This window comes from Homo sapiens, chromosome 13 (genome assembly GCF_000001405.40).
Source record: "Homo sapiens chromosome 13, GRCh38.p14 Primary Assembly".
Taxonomy (NCBI): domain Eukaryota; kingdom Metazoa; phylum Chordata; class Mammalia; order Primates; family Hominidae; genus Homo; species Homo sapiens.
The window spans coordinates 52,789,860-52,810,646 of record NC_000013.11 but is presented as its reverse complement, the minus strand read 5'-3'; the positions used below and the strand labels follow the sequence as shown (position 1 = coordinate 52,810,646).

The window sequence follows — 20,787 nt, the reverse complement described above, 5'->3', positions numbered from 1 at the left end:
CCAGACAGGAAATCTGGGCCTAGATATTCCATAGCCCCAAAAGATGTGATGATGGTGGCGGTGGTGGCAGTGGTGATGGTAATATGATGGTGATGATGGAGATTTTTTGTTTTCGATAAACTGGTGTTTCAAGGTTTTGTTTTTATACCTCTTCTTTACATTTTTCTATTTTTTAATGTAAAAGCATGGAACAGATTCGCCATATAATCATTTTAATCAATTTTCTGCGGTGATAACTTCCCTGCAACTTAATTGGCAAAGTTGTTTCCCAGACTAAAAGTACTATGGCATCATCTAAAAGTCACCTCAAAGAGACAGAACAATTCATTAAAAACCACTAATGTCTGCAGGGTTTAAAGATGTTAAGTGTTCATTTGGAGAATGAGAAATCAACGCACATTGACTTTTGCCATCCGGGTTTGTCACGCTCTGTGTCCGTGGGATGACTCACATTGCTAAAGCCCAAGTTTAATTAACATGCTTATTCTGTGCCGCTACTTCCATTCTAACAAATTAAATGTTTAAACAGCCAGTGCAAACATTTAGATCTGAGTCAAAATTGTTTGCACTCTGCCAGTTTAGGCATTTAATTTATTATAATCCTTTCCATAATATATACTTTGAAAGTCATTCTTTTGCACTGAAAAATATTGTTAGTATTTCAACTGATGCTATTGAATCTGAGACTATCAGAATGTGACGTGAGAACTAAATTGGACTGCAAATAAGGCCAATAAATGAGATAATAAATGAATCCTCATCTATCCTAACTTCCTCAATTGACCAAGTAATAATAATGACAGGTGCCAACTCAGGCCTGACTTTTGTCCCATAATCTCTGCTCTTGTGGAGAGATGCTATAAGATGAGACAAGGATCTTGCAAAGCTCGTAAACATTTCTTCTTAAGAGCCTTTCCTGGATTCTGACCTCTTCCTCCCTGCAGATGTTTTTTCAACATACAGAATTTTGCTAGCTTTCAACAACTTCCCCTTCCCTGGGCTAAAGAAACTGAAAATGCAATGGAAGAGAAATTATAACAAAAGCTTCATTGACGCAATGCTGACTGCACTGATAAAGATCTCAGGCAAGCAGCCAAAGAAGCTAGACAGAGAGAGGTTCCCAAGGAATGACCCTGTTTGGCCCCAGGTGACCACAAGGTGGCAGTGAAGGTCTTCTTCACCCTCCCCATTGGCACCACCCTCCCAGGCCCCGACCCCCAGGCACTGTGCCTCTTCCCCACTGTCTCCCAGGGAAACAAATGGATACACCCAGATCTAAAAAGCTGACACTTTTACATTTTTAATAAAGATAACTTGTGTTTTATTGTGAATAACATGGAAACTGGAAAATGATTGAAAATTTCCCCCAATAGCCCTTGCTTGAAGAAAATGGAGCATGGCGTTGGAACCAAGAGGAAAATATTGTAGAGTAATAGATGCTGGTCATGCAAACTCATTAGATCTCAGCTTCCTCATCTACAGAATGAGAGGTTAGGTTCCTCTCATCCCTGAGGTTTCTTCCAGTACCCTTCCAGAGACAATAGCATGGATCAAACTCATCAACCAAGGGAGAGGGGTCAGTTTCAGGAGACACCAATTGGTTTGTTACTGTGTGCTAATCAAGGTCACGTGCCACTGAAAACCTGAATGCATTCACTCTCTGATTCTTCAGGCTTCCATCTCCTGCTCAGAAATCATTCAAGGTCTTCCACAAAACATTCCAGATTGTTTATACTTTGAGATTGAATTATATAGAGTCAAGCTTGGTCAGATTTTATAATGAAGCTATATCTACCCAAAAATTGGCTGGTGAAGGAAAGGAGGAAATCGTTGAATCTAGCCAATTTGTTGTTTCTGAAAGCAATCAACTCAGATCAATCCAGCTTTGTTTGTTTTTCCAAATAATGTAGGTCATTTAGACACACGATAGGGCTTTCTCCTAGAGCCACCTCAAGGAACTACCCATTCAAAAGGGCTTTGTTAAATGAGAATGGATGCCTGCACCTCAACACACGCTCACTATTTAAATGCCAGGAGGGTTAACTGAGAAGTAACAGACAAAAGTCTTCCCACTGAATATCTATGCTGAGGCATTTTTAAATGTTTTTAATGTCTAAGGGTTGTAATTAAGTGAGGCATTAATTAGCTTTTCTAAACCACTTTTTAAAAAGTTAATCATAATTAGCATTAATTAAATACTATGTTCCAGACAATGTGTTAAGCACATTATATGTATTACCTCATCAATTCTTATTCCAACCCTATAAAGAAGGAACTGATACTTCCCCAATTTTATAGATGCAGAAACTGAGGTTTCAGGAGATGAGGTCACCTATCCAGGTTCACACGGCTGAAAACCAGGTATGCATGCCTGATTGCAAAGTCCCAGCTCTCTCTTTTTTTTTTTTTCAGACAGAGTTTCGCTCTGTCGCCCAGGCTGGAGTGTGGTGGCAGGATCTCGGCTCACTGAAAGCTCCACCTCCCAGGTTCACGCCATTCTCCTGCCTCAGCCTCCTGAGTAGCTGGGACTATAGGTGCCCGCCACCATGCCTGGCTAATTTTTTTTTTTTTTTTTTTTTTTTTTTTTTTGGATTTTTAGTAGAGACAGGGTTTCATCGTGTAAGCCAGGATGGTCTCGATCTCCTGACCTCGTGATCCACCCGCCTTGGCTTCCCAAAGTGCTGGGATTACAGGCATGAGCCACCACGCCTGGCCACAAAGGACCCAGCTCTTGAAGGAAGTTTATCCAGCCCCAATTCCGTTTTTCATGTCTTCATAATCCCCGAGGATGTTTTTTTTGTTTTATTTTGTTTTTTTGAGATGGAGTCTTGCTCTGTTGCCCAGGCTGGAGTGCAATGGGGCAATCTCAGCTCACTGCAACCTCCACCTCCCGGATTCAAGCGATTCTCCTGCCTCAGCCTCCCGAGTAGTTGGGATTACAGGCGCCCACCACCACGCCCAGCTAATTTTTGTATTTTTAGTAGAGATGGGATTTCGCCATATTGGTCAGGCTGGTCTCAAACTCCTGAACCCAGGTGATCCACCCGCGTCAGCCTCCCAAAGTGCTGGGATTACAGGCATGAGCCACCACGCCCGGCTGATTCCTCTTTTTTACTGGCACCTGTGTCAGTATTACACATTTATAAGTATTTTAATATTTCTAAAATGAGACCAACTCATCAAAAATTTGCAGAGGAAATCCCCAACTCCTTATAGTGGAAAGAGTACCAGGGTCGCTTAGGGTTGCTCTCCATCTCTGTACCATTTACAAATAAATGCTGCTGGTCCCAGGCTCTGCATCAAATTTACCACCTAAGGAGATTCCACACTCTTCAAGGAATCCACCACAGTGGCCTCAGCTATCTTTGAACTGCCTTTCCTCTTGTCTTAATGCTCAATGAACACAGAGAACAGCCAACTTTTCCTTCTGATTCTGAACTTGAGGACGATCAAGAAAACACACGATTTTTTTTTTTTTTTTTTTTTTTTTTTTTGAGACAGGGTCTTGCTCTATCTCCCAGACTGGAGTGCAGTGGCACGATCTCGGCTTACTGCAACCTCCGCCTCCTGGGTTCAAGAGATTCTCCTGCCTCAGCCTCCTGAGTACAGGGATTACAGGCGCACGCCACCATGCCTGGCTAATTTTTGTATTTTAGTAGAGACAGGGTTTCACCATGCTGGTCATGCTGGTCTCAAACTCCTGACCTCATGATCCACCCACCTCAGCCTCCCAAAGTGCTAGGATTACAGGCATGAGCCACCACACCCAACCGAAAACACACAATTCTTAAGCAAGATATGACTTCAAGAGGTCCTCCAATCCTGTCTTCTGCTTCCAGACAGGGACTGTATAACTAAAAACAAAAAATCACCAAATATGAACAACCATCACTAACTTTTTTGGACATTCATGAGAGTGCAAAGGGTTCTACCTGTATCAGCTCATTTTACAGTGGGGGAGTTTGAGGCACAGAGAGGAGAAGTGATTTTCCCAAAGCCATATAACTAGGCAAGGGTACAGGTGGAATTAGAATCAACTGTCCCCTGAATTTTATTTGCTATATCTCTATTCCTTCTCCCTGGCCTAGGTTGATGTGGGGAAGACAGGAGCAGGCACCTGGAATTGTAGAATCATGGGCAAAGCACCAAAATGGTAGTAAACACGGGTTCCTGAGCCACCTTTGCCTCTAACTGGCTGGGTTTCTTTAGATGAGCTCCCCCCATGCCTGGGCTTCAGTTTCCTCACCCTCAGATTTCCCTAAAGGCCTTTTTTTTTTTAACTCTAAACTTCTAGGATTTGGGTTCAACAAGGTTAGTTGGGAGAAAAGCAGGGCAGAAACGTAGCAAGTTGGGAAACCAGCGGACCAGCTGGTGGCCACAGCTGTCCTGTTCATTCTGCTAGAATTCCGCACCAGCCAGTGACTTTTCCTCCCATTCTCCACATTATGCATTCACATCAGACCTCTGTTTTATCTTCAGCATGTTAGTATTACACATTTTTATTTTGCCAGTTATCTCTTCTATTAACCCGGGCACTCTGCAAAATGACTTGTCATTAATAACGTGAACTGGCTTTTTCAGTTTAGACAGAAAGGAAGATATGGAATTGAAGGAACCGTGTTATCTAATGCATTTTCAAAGAGATTTGTTTGATGAGAGTGCTTGTTAGAAATACCTAAGCAGAGAGCATCAAATCTTTGACAAAATATATATTCGAAATATTGCATAGAGGACTTTTAGGGATTAGAGTCTATCAGCATGCATTGCTTCAAATTTTCGGATGAAATTTTAGCAGCAACTATATTAGAATCTTGTAATCACATTCACGAATGCCAACGCCCAGATCACAAATGCCATCCCTACTGGATATGGATTTGAGGGTATTTTTTTTCAGGAAGGTATTGTTAGCTTTAGGGTCTAGTCTGCTTGCTTACCTTTTTAAAGACAAGCGCAGAATTTTAGAATTGGGAGAGTCCAGATAGATTATTCCCAATCCCCCTGTTCCATAGGTTAGGAAATTGCACCCAAGTACAGGAATGTCCCAAGGTCATACACCACAATGCATAGCCAGGACTCAGACCAGCTGCTTGATTCCTAGTCCCTCACTTCCACCCTTATGCCAACTGTCATGTTCTGCAAAAGGACAGAACCAGAAACAAAGGAGCATCAGAAGACTATGTCATTAATCAAATGATCTCTGAGCCAGAGATGGATGTCCTACAGTGCTCAATCAGAGCTTCAGAAAAGGGTAAATAGATCCGATATAGGGAACCTCTGTAGACCATGGGGAGCAACTGGGGAGGGTTAAGCTAGTAACTAATGCCCCGGGAGCAGAGGCCAAGCCTGGTGATTGACTTGGGAGCAGAGATTTATGTGGAATATGCCTCATATAGAGATACTGACGGGACTTTGGCAGGTAATGCAATGGGGAAAGAATGGGCTGTGGGGTCATGGGAGCTTTGATTGTGAACCCCAGCTGTCTCTCACTGCCTATGACTTTGGACAGCTACCTTGCTTCATCTCTCTGAGCCTCAGTGACCCCATCTGCAAACTGAGACATTTTTGTGTGCTGTATAATGCTGTGAATGTGTAAATTTTAATACTGTGGCTTACATTTGTAAGTATATATTTATGATACAGTCATAACTGGCCAACAAACCACAGTTTGCATCCTTTCCAGGGACACAAGCAGCAAACTGACTCAGGGATGTAGGGCTTGGGCTTGAACTCCTACAACCAAAGTGGTCACAAATTATGCAGTGTGGGCATGGGTTCCCAGTCCCAACCTTTCCATTCCACCAACCCACTATTCTGCCTAATCTGCCTACATTTGTTTACATTGATTCAAACCCCATCAGAGCCAGGGAAGACACTGTTGTTATTGAAGGGGAGGCCCAGGACTGGCAGAGGGGATGCACTAAACAGCCCCTGTGGGTGTGGAGGAGAGGGCAGGCAGAGCAGTCTGCCCTGGGAAGGCTGGGAGGAACCTGCCATGGGTTTGGACAGGCAGGCAAAAGACAGCTGCCCTTTCTGAAGGCATGCGCCCTCCAAGGCCTGCCAAAAGGTCAGCTTACCATAGAGGACCCGAAGTGAGCCCAGAGCCTTTTAGGAACACATCTGCTATTCATGTATAATGTAACTGGATCAACTCTGAAACCAAGAGGCTTTAACCGCAGAGCTTGTCTGGAGGGAGATAATGAGGAGGAAGAAAAGGCCAATGAAAACAGAAAGTCCAGATAAAAAGCCCAGAAACAGATTAGGTCATCCCAGGTTTATTGTCATGGAAGAACCATTTCTCCAAGAGTGAAAAACTTGCAGCCCAGTTGCTAAACAAACTAACCTGTGGATTGTTTTACCTTCCTGGCCTCAGTTAGCTCCCTAGATCTTGGTTCACCTCCCTGGGCCTAGGTTAACCTCCCTGAGTCTCTCTTGGTTATCTTTTGGCTCTAACACCAGAGATTTCCCAGATTCTAAGTGGTAAGAAACATACAAAAAGTAAACTAAATAACATGTTTCCTTGAAATATTAATCAATCATGCTTTCCTTTTTATGACTCGCTTTTGAATCAGTCAGAGGCATTCATGTGGCCTCAAGGAGAATTAGGAATGCTTTAGTGGGACTGCAAAGGGAAGAAAATAAATTTTTTGCTTTCAAAATAAGCCTTCAGAGCTCAAAGTGAAGCCCTGGGGGAAGCAGGGGAGAGTTTTCATTATAACCATGGATGGAAAGAAGAGAAGGGGTGTCTACCAGGTGACAGTTAAACTGGACTGGGATGGGAATCAAGACCCAGGATGGGATGGTGGATGGGGTTGAGAGGAGGACACCAGACCTGGTGAGCAGGGAGGACACCCCAGGGAAAGAAGGAGTTCTTATGATCAGGGACCAGAACCTGAAGTCTCATGACAGCCAAGTCATTCCTTTTTTGGCTTTTTTGTTTGTTTGTTTTTTTGAGACAGGGTCTTGCTCTGTCACCCAGGCTGGAGTGCAGTGGCGCGATCTCAGTTCATGGAAATCTCCAACTCCCAGGCTCAAGCTATCTTCCCACCTCAGCCTCCCAAGTAGCTAGGACTACAGGCGTGAGCCGCCATGCCCAGCTGATTTTTGTATTTTTGGTAGAGACGAGGTTTCACTATGTTGCCCAAGCTGGTCTTGAATTCCTGAGCTCAAGCGATCTGCTCGCCTCAGCCTCTCGAAGTGCCGGGATTACAGGCGTGAGCCACTGGAAGTCTCAAGATAACCAAGTCATCCTTGACTCCTCTCACTCACACCCCACATACACTCCATCAGAAGAGCCTTTTCTGCCTACAGAATGCATCCAGAATCTAATCACTTCTTACCACTTCTGCTCCTACCACCCTGGTGCCAGCCACCAGCACCTCTCACCTGGTTTATTACACACCTCCCAGTGGGTCTCCATGTGCCTGTCCTACCCTCATCTCTTCTCAGCACCGCAGTTGGAGCTGTGTGCCATGTAAGTCAGATCCTGTGATTCCTCTGCTCCAATCATCTGACAACTCCCCATCTCAAGCATCCTCAAAGCAAAGCCTCCCAGATCCCACCAGGATAGGGCTCCTGTGACCTCTGTCACCTCCCATCATCCTTACTGCTCCTTGAACATGCCTGACACTCTCCCACCGAGGGCCTCTGCATGAGCCCTCTCCTCCATGGATGCTCCAGCCATCCTCATGGCTGCCTTCCTCTCCTCCCCAATCCCTGCTTAAGCTCGCCTTTTCACCCTACTGCCAGCTGCCTCACAAACACCCCCGACTGGTCTTGCACAAATTGCCTTCTAAGATATTACGTAAGAATTTATTGGCCAGGCGCGGTGGCTCATGCCTGTAATCCCAGCACTTTGGGAGGCCGAGACAGGCGGATCATGAGGTCAGGAGACCGAGACCACAGTGAAACCCCATCTCTACTAAAAATACAAAAAATTAGCTGGGCGCAGTGGTGGGCACCTGTAGTCCCAGCTACTCGGGAGGCTGAGGCAGGAGAATGGCGTGAACCGGGGAGGCGGAGCTTGCAGTGAGCTGAGATCGCACCACTGCACTCCAGCCTGGGTGAGAGAGCGAGACTCCAACTCAAAAAAAAAAAAAAATTTATTATGTTTAACCCTCCTTGTCTGTCTCCCCTACTGGAATATAAGCTCCATGAGGACAGATATCTTTGTTCTATTCACTGATGTAGCTCAAGTACCTAAAAGAGTGCCCAGAAGGTGGTCAATAAATATTTGTTGAAGGCCAGGCATGTTGGCTCACGCCTGTAATCCCAGCACTTTGGGAGGCTGAGGCGGGTGGATCACAAGGTCAGGAGTTTGAGACCAGCCTGGCCAACATGGTGAAACCCCGTCTCCACTAAAAATACAAAGATTAGCCGGGTGTGGTGGTGTCTGCCTGTAATCCCAGCTACTCGGGAGGCTGAGGCAGGAGAATCGCACGAACCCAGAAGGCAGGGGGTTACAGTGAGCCGAGATCGTGCCACTGCACTCCAGCCTGGGAGACAGGGTGGGATTCTGTCTCAAAAAAAAAAAACAAAACAAAAAATATGTTGATCGAATGAATGAATGAATGAAACCATCCCCACCCACTGAGCAATGTCTATGTGGTCCAGGCTGAATGGCCCAGCAGCCACTGTTGGCTGAGTCTTCAATCAACAGCTGCCTATGGACTTTCCAGCAATAGGAGGTCCACGTGGGCCCCAAGACTTTTCTGAGCCTCATCCAAACTTGCCCCATACAGATATTCCCCCTTTAACTGCTAAGGAGGCTGTAGTGGTGAGAAGGGAAACACTGCACAGTGGTGAAGGCCACCCCATGGCTAAAGATCTGATGGTGCTCTTTTGTTCTATTTTATGCAGCAAAATTTTATTCAATGTGGAAACTAGTAGTGCTCAGGCCTTGGAGAAATTTTGTAATGAGTCCATACCAGAATATGTAAATAACTCTTAGAAATCAATAAGAAAAATACAGAAAACCCAATAGAAAAATGGACAAATGACTTAGATCCTTCGCAAAAGATGATCTCCAGACAATAAATACAGTAAATTGGTTAATTAATCATAAGAGAATTGCTAACCAAAACTACAATGCAGTACACCCATCAGAATGCCAAGAGGAAAACGGAGGAAATTTGTGTTGGCAAGGAAGCAGGACAACTGCAACTCTCAAACACAGCTGGTGGAAGTGTAGTTGTACAACTACTTTGGAAACCATTTGGCAGAATCCACTGAAGCTGAACATACTCATACCGTATGACCCAGCAATTCTACTCCTAGGTATACACCCAGCAGAAATGCATCTATATGCTCATTACAGATGTGAACTTGAATGCTCACAGCAACACTGTTTGTAAAGCATAAAGCTGGAAACTACCTAAATACTCATCAACAGTAGAACAAATAAATTATGCTTTATTCATGCAATGAAATTCTTTAAATGGCCTATATCTACACACAAATATACGAATGCCTCTTACAAAAGTCAGAGAGGAAAGAGTACATACTGTATGACTTCATTTGAGTAAATTACGAAACAGGTGAAATAATCTATGGTGCTAAAAGTCAGGATGGTTATTATCCTGGTGAGGGTAGCGACCATAGGGGTTTCTAGGGTGCTGGTAATGCTGTTTCTTGATTGGAATGCTGATTGCATAGGAGTGTTCATGAAAATTCATCCAGGTCGATATACATACTATGTGTACTTTTTGTGTAAGCATTATATTATACTTGGAATTTACTTTTTTTTTTTTTCTGAGACGGAGTCCTGCTCTGCCACCCAGGCTGGAGTGCAATGGTACAGTCTTGACTCACTGCAATCTCCGCCTCCCAGGTTCAAGCAATTCCCCTGCCTCAGCCTCCCGAGTAGCTGGAACTGCAGGCACATGCCACCATGCCTGGCTAATTTTTGTATTTTTAGTAGAGACAGGGTTTCTCCATGTTGGCCAGGCTGGTCTCAAACTCCTGACGTCGGGTGATCTGCCCTTGCTGGCCTCCAAAAGTGCCAGGATTACAGGCATTAGCCACTGCGCCCAGCCTCAAGGAATTACTTCCAATGAGGGGGACAGATACATGAGCCATTCCTCACGTTGTAAGGTGGAACGAAGTGAGTGAAAAGCAGAAATGGAAGCCATGTGCTATGAAGGCCAAGAGGGACAGAATTCTCTCTGACTTGGAGATGCGGTTCACAAAGAAAGCTGGGCTTTGAGGAAAAAAGCTGAATAAATTAATGGAGAAAAATCCAGGCAGAGCAAAGACCAGAAACACAATACCAAGCATGCCTCATTTGAGGGCTGAGAGAAAAGCTTAGAAGCCAGAACTTGAGGGAGTGGGGAGGGAGGGGGAAGGAAGGGAGCATCCCACGGGCCCTGCCTTTCCTACCTCAACACATTGCCATGTGTTGACTTTAGCTTTCCTCTAACTGACTTCTAAAGAACCACAGTATGTTCACAAGTATTAACAAAATCATTGCATGGCCAAAGACATTAAGAAAACACTGCACACTAGATCTCTCTTGGAGATTCATAATATACCTTAACATATTAAAAGCTTGTAACATCCTGCAATCATGAAGCCTGCTGAATTCAGTGTTTCTCAACTTTAGTTCACTATGGAATCTTTTCTGTCTCTCTCTCTTTCTTTCTTTCTTTTCTTCCTTTCTTTTTGAACGCATATTAAGATGCCATCTGGTCACACCTAGGGTAATGCCAGCTCCAGTAATAAAGAAATCCCAATTTTTTTCAGTGCCTTCCACAATAAAAATGTACTGCTTACTGACATGGTACTATTAGTGAAATGCAGGAGTCACTTGTCAGTGGGTGGTCATCCATAGTGATTCAAGGCCCAGGTTTCTTCCATTTGGTGACTTTTCCATTGCCTGGCATTCAGAATCTTTAGCATCCTAGTCAGCAGATAGGGAATACAGAATGGAAAAGTAGGTTCACTTCTTGACCGCCTTAACCATTGATAAGAATACTAGTTACATGTCCCCATCTGGGCACAAATGCATTTGGGAAATGTAGTCTGTGGCTGGGCAGCTATTCTATGGTATTAGAGAATGCAAATTTTGTTGTGGTTTTTCTGCCACATCCAGTAACTGAATATATTCCCTAAGCCACTGCTTTTTGTCATCGCACCTTTAATCATGCCATTCCTTTTGCCTAGATAGTCCCTTCCCCTCCCACAAATACTTTCTCCAACTGGCAAATTCTTACCCTCCTCTGGAGCCCAAGAGAAAGGTCACCTGCTCCATGAGCCCTTTCCTCACCTTGACCTTGTTGATCTTCTCTGTGTACCCGCATGACTTTGGTGAGAGGTCATCAAAACCTTGTGTCTATTTCCAACCAGAAGAAGAACCCTATATGGGCAAGGTCTCTACCTCAGTTACCTTCATATCCCCAGTCCAGAGCTGTGCTTGATGAAACAGTCAGGGCACAATAAATAGAGTGGAAAGGGAGGGAGGGAAGGAAAGAAGGAAGGAAGGTAGGAAGGAAGGAAGGAAGGAAGGAAGGAAGGAAGGAAGGAAGGAAGGAAGGAGGGAGGGAGGGAGGGAGGGAGGAAAGGAAGGAAGGAAGGGGAGGGAGGGAGGGAACAAACTGTGGCATATGAAGGAATATAGTAGGAGGATATTGCCCCTTTCAATCTGTTATTCTGTAATTAACAAGGGCAAAGGGGCTTTTTATAAGAGTTTTGCTCCTCTTAGGAGCCCAGGGGTTAGATAGATGCCACTATAGGCAATTTATGCTCTAATCTTTTTCTCTGAGTGTTTTTTGTAGATGGCCTTTAACAGCATGCAAATTTGTACCCTTTTGTTCATTCAATCTCAGGATTGACACTAATGTAAACAATTATTGAAGTCCCATGTCTGGAAGATGCCTGGATAAATGTTTTGGTCTGAACGCAGTCAAGCTGTACTTGATGGTATATAATTTAAAATAACACAATTAAAATGGGTAAGAAAAATCCAGACAAGCCGGGCACAGTGACTCACGCCTGTAATCCCAGTACTTCGGAAGGCAGAAGCTGGTAGATCACCTGAGGTCAGGAGTTCGAGACCAGCCTGGCTAACATGGTGAAACCCTGTCTCTACTAAAAAAATTAGCCGGGCATGGTGGCGTGTGCCTGTAATCCCAGCTACTTGGGGTGCTGAGACAGGAGAATTGCTTCAACCCAGGAGGCGGAGGTTGCAGTGAGCTGAGATCGCACCATTGCACTCCAGCCTGGGCGAGAAAGCAAAAAAAAAAAAAGAAAAGAAAAGAAAAGAAAAATCTGGACAAGATTTAATGCTCTAAAAAGAAACTTTAAAATGCAGTCTCACAATCTTTTTATTGATATTGTCAAGATAAAATATTATTCCCAGAGAGGTTCATCAGTCTTTCTTCACTGAAAACCAGAAGAGGCACCTGATCTGGTGCGGGCACCAGAGGAGCTTTGCCTGCCTCAGCCCAGGGTGATGCAGGAGTCAGCTGCCCTGCCCTGTTCACCTGACTTCAGGAGCCTGAGTCAGAGTTCAGTCTGCACAGGCAGGACTTGAACCCAGACCCACAGAGTGAGCCCTTGTCAGCTGTGCTGAGTAAGAAATTAGAAATGTTGCAGGTCCTGAGGTGGGGTAGGTGGACAGTGGGATTCCTGAAGGATTCCATACCACCTGGCAGGAAGAACAAATCAAATCCCTGGTTTTAGCACTGACTTGTCTCTAAGACAGCATAAACAAGTTACTTAATCTTTGCTGGCCTTATTTTTGTTATCTTTAAAAAGGGACTAACTATATCAGTCCTCCTTTACCACCTCAGAGTGTTACAAAAACCAAATCAGACCAGAAATTTACATTAAGCCAAGAGTGACCAGGAAGAGGGAAAATGTCCAGACATCCTTGCTACCCTGGAGTTGTATGTCTTCCAGACAGGGTTGCTGCCTCACCCTAGGGTGTCCCTTCTGGCATCTCAGGTATTGCCCAACCACACAAAAACAGAAGATCTGCCATGAGCAAGAGCTGGAGCCTGAGCTGGTGAATGTCCCACCACCTTGACAGTGGATATGCGTTTGGCCAGGGTGTCATGGGGGCTATTGCTGATAACCATGACCTTAATATCTGATCCCACATTTCTCATCTTTACCAGACTTTAGACAGAGCCATCCCTCTAAATGCCAGTTTGGTCTGATGCTTGATGCCTTGTTTTCAGCAGCTTTCCTTCCCAAGACATGCTGGCTTCATTGATAAGTGTTGCTAGCTCTTTATCGACATCATTTTAGGAAAGGTTGCCAAGGCAACAGGATTCAGGAATGATTCTCATTACTGTACAGTTCCCAACAAATAAGTGTCTGTGTGTATGTGGTCTCAACCAGTATTGGCACTCCCATCTCCAAGCTAAAACGTCAACACTTACAGTTTGCAGCACACAATTCAACATGTAATTATATATTGTCTCTTAGTAATTATACATTGTCTTAGTGAACAATGCAGCTGTGGGCACCCACAGCAGCTCACATTAATACCTCCTACGTTAACATCCTCCTTCACTGATGGGCCAATAATACACATTTGTAGAAGCCATAAAGAAAGCCAAGATATTCACAGAAACATATTTATAGACCAAACCTAAACTCTGACTTCTGAACACTGCCTCAGTTTCCATCATGTAGGACCTTATGGTTCCCACTGCTGGAATTGGCCAGACTGTGATTGTTTTGTTTTACCCATTGGTTTTCCAAGAAGGAAATACCAATACTCTCAATGTAGCCAGGGTTTGACAAAGACCAAGTGGGGTGAGCCCATTCAAACTGGGACAGATTCCTATATATTTTCTAAAACTATGGAATAGGAGTGAAACCACAATGTCAAAAGTCTCCAGCTTCAACCCTGGTGCTTCACTTGGATGATGTCCCTGCTCTGTACCCAGAACTATGAAACCCACACCAATCACTTAGAAATGTCAGACTTGGCCGGGCGCGGTGGCTCACATCTGTAATCCCAGCACTTTGGGAGGCCGAGATGGGCAGATCACGAGGTCAGGAGATCGAGACCATCCTGGCTAACACGGTGAAACCCCGTCTCTACTACAAATACAAAAAATTAGCCGGGCGTGGTGGCGGGTGCCTGTAGTCCCAGCTACTCCAGAGGCTGAGGCAGGAGAATGGCGTGAACCCGGGAGGCAGAGCTTGCAGTGAGCTGAGATCGCGCCACTGCACTCCAGCCTGGGCGACACAGCGAGACTCTGTCTCAAAAAAAAAAAAAAAAGAAGAAATATCAGACTTTACTTTTCCTCTCTAGGCTGTGAAGGAAATCTATAGTGACAGTAGAGTTGAAGGGGGAAAATATAAATAATTTAAAATCTCTATGTGGGTTATAACATATAGCTCTTCCTCTTCCCCATCTCCTCCCTTCCTCCCCAAAAAAGCTTTAGAGGAGATAACTGGATTACAGGAGGTCTGGGATTGTAAGCACTGAGTTGCATTTTGAAAGAATTGGTGGCTCCAGGTCATTTTAATCAAGTTGCATGTCAGCTTGCAAATTTTCCAAATTAGCTGTAGCTGGAGGAGAGCAAGATGCCTTTCTTTCCTAAAGAATCAAAACAGATTGTTGTGACATGTTCTCAGTCATAATGACAGATTGGAGCCACTGTTTGTGGTACAAGTCAGAAAACAAAGCAACTTTTTTTTCCCTAAAATTGTAACCTTTGATTGATTTCTGTTGAGATTTGGGCATCTCCCAGTTTGTCAGTGATGTTGATGGAGTTCACAAAAATCTTAAAAGCCAGATGCGGACACAGAGACTGATTTAAAGACTGGAAAAGGAAGCCTCTTGGCCTTGAGGGCAAGTTTTAGGGATGCTTAGTGTGAATGCTGTTCAAATGTTGTTCCCTAGAAATGAGAGGATAATAGAAAAGGAATAGTTGGCACTCCCTCATCCTGGGCAGCACTCTGCTTCTGAAACAGGAATACTCCTACAAATAAAAGCTATGCAAGCCATCCTGAATAAGGCCGGCTCTGCACAATCAAACCAATGGATCATGCCCAGCCGGGGATCTGTGTATCCCCCGATCAGTCCATGCAAAGGTCAGTCCTACATCACATCTCGTCAGAATGGCTGAGGCACAGAAGATTGGTTTTCACAAACCAGGCAGGAAGGGTTTTAGACCTGTCATTCATCTTGAAGTCACCCAGTAAACAATACAGCTTAAGACTATGGTTCCTGAATCCATAAATAGAATATTGAATTAATATTTGCATAATGCAAGGGAGGAACTAGGAAGCCAGGGAATGAACAATGACGGGATATGCTGGAACAATCCCTTAAAATGCCAACAAACCCAAAAATAAACAAGCACCTCCCACATTCTCAATATCTCAGTTTCCTTTACCAACTATTTCTCATTTTCTTCTTAAACCCACACCTTGTCTTAGTCCAGCTTTGAGGGTCATCTCCTCCCCCAAAGAACTTAGAGAAATGAGAATGAGTGCGTTTTCAGAAAAAGAATAGAAAATAGGGGAATGGGCTGGCCACAGTGGCTCACACCTGTAATCCCAGCACTTTGGGAGGCCAAGGCAGGTGGATCATGAGGTCAAGAAATCGAAACCATCCTGGCCAACATGGTGAAACCCTATCTCTACTAAAAATACAAAAATTAGCTGAGCATGGTGGCTTGTGCCTGTAGTCCCAGCTATTCGGGAGGCTGAGGCAGAACAATCGCTTGAATCCGGTAGGTGGAGGTTGTGGTGAGCCGAGATTGCACCACTGCACTACAGCCTGGTGACAGAGTGAGATTCTGTCTCAAAAAAAAAAAAAAAAAGAAAAGAAAAAAGAAAATACGGAAATAATGCATTGAGCCAAAAGTTGCATAGATCTGGTATGAAAAGAGGAAGAGATGCCAAGGGAATGAGAGAGAAACAGTTCAGAAGAATGATGAGAACTCAGAGAATTGAATGTCACGGAGGCCCTCTGAGGAAAGAGCTTCAAGGAAGATGGGTTGCTAAGAGCACCCAAGATTACAGAGTATTAAGGGATGGGCACTGCGCAGCTTGACCATTGGAGAGATGCCCCTGATGTCAGGGGTGTCATCTGAATAAGAAGCTAGGGAAGGTCCCCACTGAGGAGGTGTAAGCTGCCCCAGGGATATGCCCCAGATAATGTTGGCGGCAGATGAGGATGACTGGTAAAGAAGCTCACCAGTGAAAAGAAGTAGAACTGGGGGAGCGGGTCAAGTGTCTGAAAGCTGGAGAAGGGCCAGTGGAGAAAAAGAGAAACAATCCAGACTACAGGAGAGAACACAGGGTCCCAACAGAAATGATGGCCTCCAAGGTTGGCTCTGTTGAGGAAAATGTCCACCTAATCTTCTGAAACTGGAAAGTGGAGGGCAGGGGAGGTGACAAACCAGAAATATATTGGAGTGGAGGGGAGATGGCCAGAGATCATTCCAGTGGGCCTCAGTCTTCTCATGACCATCCGCCTAGTTGGGACAGAGGTAGGGAGCATCTGGAGAGAAGGGAGGACATTTGCAAGCACCTTGGATAGAACAGAATGGAAGGGGAAAGGGGAAAGTTTTAGGCAGACAGTGGGAATTGGATGAAGAATCAAAGTGCGCTGGGTAGGAGAATAAATGCATTAAAATCCCTGAAAAATCAGCAGTGGAAAATATTCTCAAGCTCTCTCTTCCTTCCTATGCTGGCCTAAAACGAGGCCACAGTCCAATCAGGCCTCCTAATATCCAATAAGATCAGCAGTGTGTAGGCTGTTCCTTGGGGCTCAAGTCCTAGACTCAAGGCTTAATGAGTCACCTGCTCTATATTTTCCACTTCAGGCCTTTGGCTTTCTGGGACCTCAGTCCACTCAGCTGCAAAATTGACTTACAGGATCATGTCAATCGCCAGATGCTGCAGAGCAGAGCAGCGGGTCCAGCTTCTGCAGGTAAACGAACTGCCTGAAAGGGAATGAGCAGTGATTTCTCAGGGAGTCCCTTCTGCAATGTCGTTATAATGTCAGCTTTTGACAGCACAATGGTTTCAGTGAAAGACTCTGGAGCATCCCCTGAAAGTGCCTGAGCCTTATTAAAATGATGTCAGGGCATGCTACGTTTCACATCTCACACACATGAAAACCCCACAGTGGGAGGACTCGGTTGCTCAAGCTACCATGATGCCTAGACCCTCGTGTGCATGTGGCCTATGGTATCCCCCATGACCCCTTCAGAAATTTCAGAATAAAGACAGTCAGTCTTGAGCTCAGAGAGTTGGAGTCTGTCAGTCCAGAGGGGCGTCTTCTCAGCATTAGCTCCAAACCCCAGCATTTGTGTCTCCATGAAGTTGTACTTTTCATTTCCTCCGCATTCTTCTCCAGTCAATAGGTCATGGCACATGGTGCCTCTGGGCCTGGTATGTTCTGGTATGTTTTATTGAGAGCATTCTCTTTGGCCTCTACTAGAAGCTTGGCACGCTTTATCTCATGTTATCTTTATTTCATGAGGTTGATGTAATCATCCCCCCTCCTTTTTTTTTGAGATGAAGTCTTGCTCTGGCGACCAGGCTGGGGTGCATTGGCGCCGTCATAGCTCACTGCAGCCTCGACTTCCCAGGCACAATCAAGAAACACCCTCCACCTCAGTCTCTCAAATAGCTAGGACTATAGGCATGCACCACCACACCTGGCTAATTTTTAAAATTTTTGGTAGAGATGAGGGTCTTGCTGCCCCAGCTGGTCTCAAACTCCTGGCCTCAAGCAATCCTACTGCCTCAGCCTCCCAGTGCAGTGGGATTATAGGTGTGAGCCACTGTGCAGTCCAATCCCCATTTTTACAGATAGGAAAATCAAAGCTCAAGCAGATTGAGTTACTGGCCATGATCACACAGCCAGTTGTTGAAGAATTTGAACCAATGTCTGTGTGACTCCAAAGTGCCTGCTCTGACCCTGTTGACATTGCAGAATCATCACATCATGATGGGGCATGAACTGTAACTGAGCACACAGGGTGGGATCCCATTCTCTGTCAGGGGCAGTGAGGCCAACACCATCTGCATCCCAGGAGCCCCACAGCCTCACCCAGAGGATAAATCTAGAAAGGCTCTCTGTCTGCACTCTCCCAGGGCCCCAAAGTCATCAGCATCTGCCTAAGGAAGCTGACAGGGGGAGCAGATGTGGAGTGTGAGCAAGAATAGGTTGCACATCCATCCCTGATGTATTGGCATAACTTTCCCAGTATCCCAGAGTAACTGTGAGCAGCCCCAGCCAGCTGGACCTGGGTGCTGCTACCCCTCTGCTTCCCTGGCTCATATATTCTCTCTCAGTTGACACTGACAGCACTCCAGGGATGCTGTCCCCCCAGGGCTTGGCCCCTGTGTCTTCACAAGCAGGGGCTGAAGGAGAGAATAAAACAGCATGCAGTGGTCCTTTAAAACACCATCCCATCTAACCTTCACAGCAACCCAAAGGCTATTATCATCCCCATTTAATGATGAAGAAACTGAGGCTCACAATGGTGGGATCACTTGCCGATGTCCCCCAGCTGGTCAGTGATAGAGCCAGGATTTGTTTCTGTAATTCTCTGCTCCAAAGCCTGGGCTCCCACCCAGGCCTACACTCCAGTTCTCCCCCATGGACTTGTCAGAGAAGACAACTCAGCTCAGAGGCTTGACCTTAGTCCTGCAAGAAGCCAGACTGGCTTGATCACCTCATTCAATATCTGCATCAACCAGTCAGCAAGTGTTTTTTGGGGTTTTTTGTTGTTTTTTTTTGTTTGTTTGTTTTGAGACGGAGTCTCACTCTGTCGCTCAGGCTAGAGTGCAGTAGCACGATCTCAGCTCACTGCAACCTCCGCCTCCCAGGTTCTCGCCATTCTCCTGCCTCAGCCTCCTGAGTAGCTGGGACTACAGGCGCCTGCCACCACGCCTGGCTAATTTTTTGAATTTTTAGTAGAGACCAGGTTTCACCATGTTAGCCAGGATGGTCTTGATCTCCTGACCTCGTGATCCACCCACCTCAGCCTCCCAAAGCACTGGGATTACAGGCGTGAGCCGCCGCACCCGGCCTTGTTTTTGCTTTTGTTTTACAACTGTTTGTTTGTCTTTGAGACAAGGTCTTGCTCTGTCACCCAGGCTAGACAGAGTGCAGTGGTGTGATCATAGCTCACTGCAGCCTTGAACTCCTAGGCTCAAGCACTCCTCCTGCCTCAGCCTCCCAAGTATCTGGGACTACAGGTGTGCACCACCACACACGGCTAATTTTTCAATTTTTTTGTAGAGATGGGTTCTCGCTATGTTGCCCAGGCTGGTCTGGAACTCCTGGCCTCAAGTGATCCTCCCACCTTGACCTCTCAAAGTGCTAGGAATACACACGAGAGCCACTGCACCTGGCCAAACAAGTGTTTGTTTTTTGTTTGTTTGAGATGGAGTCTCGCTGTGTCTCCGGGCTGGAGCACAGTGGCGCGATCTTGGCTCACTGCAACCTCTACCTCCCGGGTTCAAGTGATTCTCCTGCCTCAGCCTCCCAAATAGCTGGGACTACAGGCACACGCCACCATGCCCAGCTAATTTTTTTATTTTTAGTAGAGACGGGGTTTCACCATGTTGGCCAGGATGGTCTCGATCTCCTCACCTCGTGTTCCACCCCACTCGGCCTCCAAAGTGCTAGGATTACAAGTGTTTTTTAAAGCACCTTCCAGGCTGTGAGGGGAACCAAAAGGAAATATGGGTGTATTACCTATCCCTAAAGAGCTCACAGTGGGGAGGGGAGGGGAGGCAGGGGGAGGGGAGGGGAGGGGAGGCAGGGGGAGGGAAAAGTTGGCATACGAGAAACAAGAAACAAAAGAAAATGAAACCACAGACTGGCCCTGGCCCTGCGGCATGTAGTGCAGCGGGGAGGAAGCTGAGGCAGGGGCAGGGGGAAAAGGGAGATGGGCCTGGAAATCCAGAAGCATTTGGATATGTGGAGGGGCGAGAAGGGTTGGGGGTGCAGGCAGGGCTGGAAGAGGGCCTTCCTTTTTGGGGAAGGGGCTATGACCCAGGGAGGGAGCTGGCTTTGCAGGGAGTGATGGAAATGGGAGTGTTCAGAGAGAAAGACAGGGATAAAAGGTAAAGAACATAAAAATAAAAAACAATGGTGAAGGTGGAGACAAGGAATGGTAGGGAAGGAAAGAGAGGAAAATGGAAGATGGGGTGGCAACCCTTGGCAAAGGCACAGGGGGACACGGGGGAGCTCATAGTTAGGAGTCAGCGCACTCAGGCTTCTGGTAGGAAGGAAAAAGAAGGCCCTTGAGAACCTCCGCCCTAGTCTTTTGAAAAGAGCTCAGGGCAAGTGGGAGGAAAGGTGTCTGGGACTAGTACTGCCGTGGCCTGGATGATGGATTTCTCAGCAGCCGCTTTCTAGGAGTGGGGGCCGCGTGCCCTACCAGTTACCTTTCAGGCTGTGGGGTGGTGGCCAGTGGGGGTCTGTCTGCTGGGGGGTCCCCTGGGCAAGGCCAATGCAGCAAGGCCAGCACTCTGGTGACTCAGGAGAGCTAATGTGGCTCCCGGAAAGGCCTGAAGACACTGAGATGGTGGGCACTCCTTGGCCGGTGCAGAGAGCAGAGGAGTTGGAGTCAGGGTTGAACTCCATGGATCCCTCCTCTCCTGGCAGTGGCTCGGCAGAAGAACTAAGGGGAAAATCCTGAAAGTCTCAAACTCCACGCTCCTGTGCTCCCTGGAAAATTGCAGACACAGAAGGGGAGCTCCAAACATGACTGTGTGGAGGGACAGACTCTGCTGACATAACGGAAATAATGGCCTGGGACATGGATGGGAGGGATGAGAGAGGGGCAGCTTCACAGC

The 20,787-nt window shown here is 46.0% G+C and overlaps 1 non-coding gene across 1 annotated transcript; it reads right to left on the bottom strand.

Annotated features, from left to right (window-relative positions):
• Positions 1-506: 506 nt before the first annotated feature.
• Positions 507-597, bottom strand: MIR759 (microRNA 759). Its single transcript, NR_031582.1, has one exon. It is a non-coding gene; the product is annotated as a microRNA 759 (primary transcript).
• Positions 598-20,787: the final 20,190 nt, after the last annotated feature.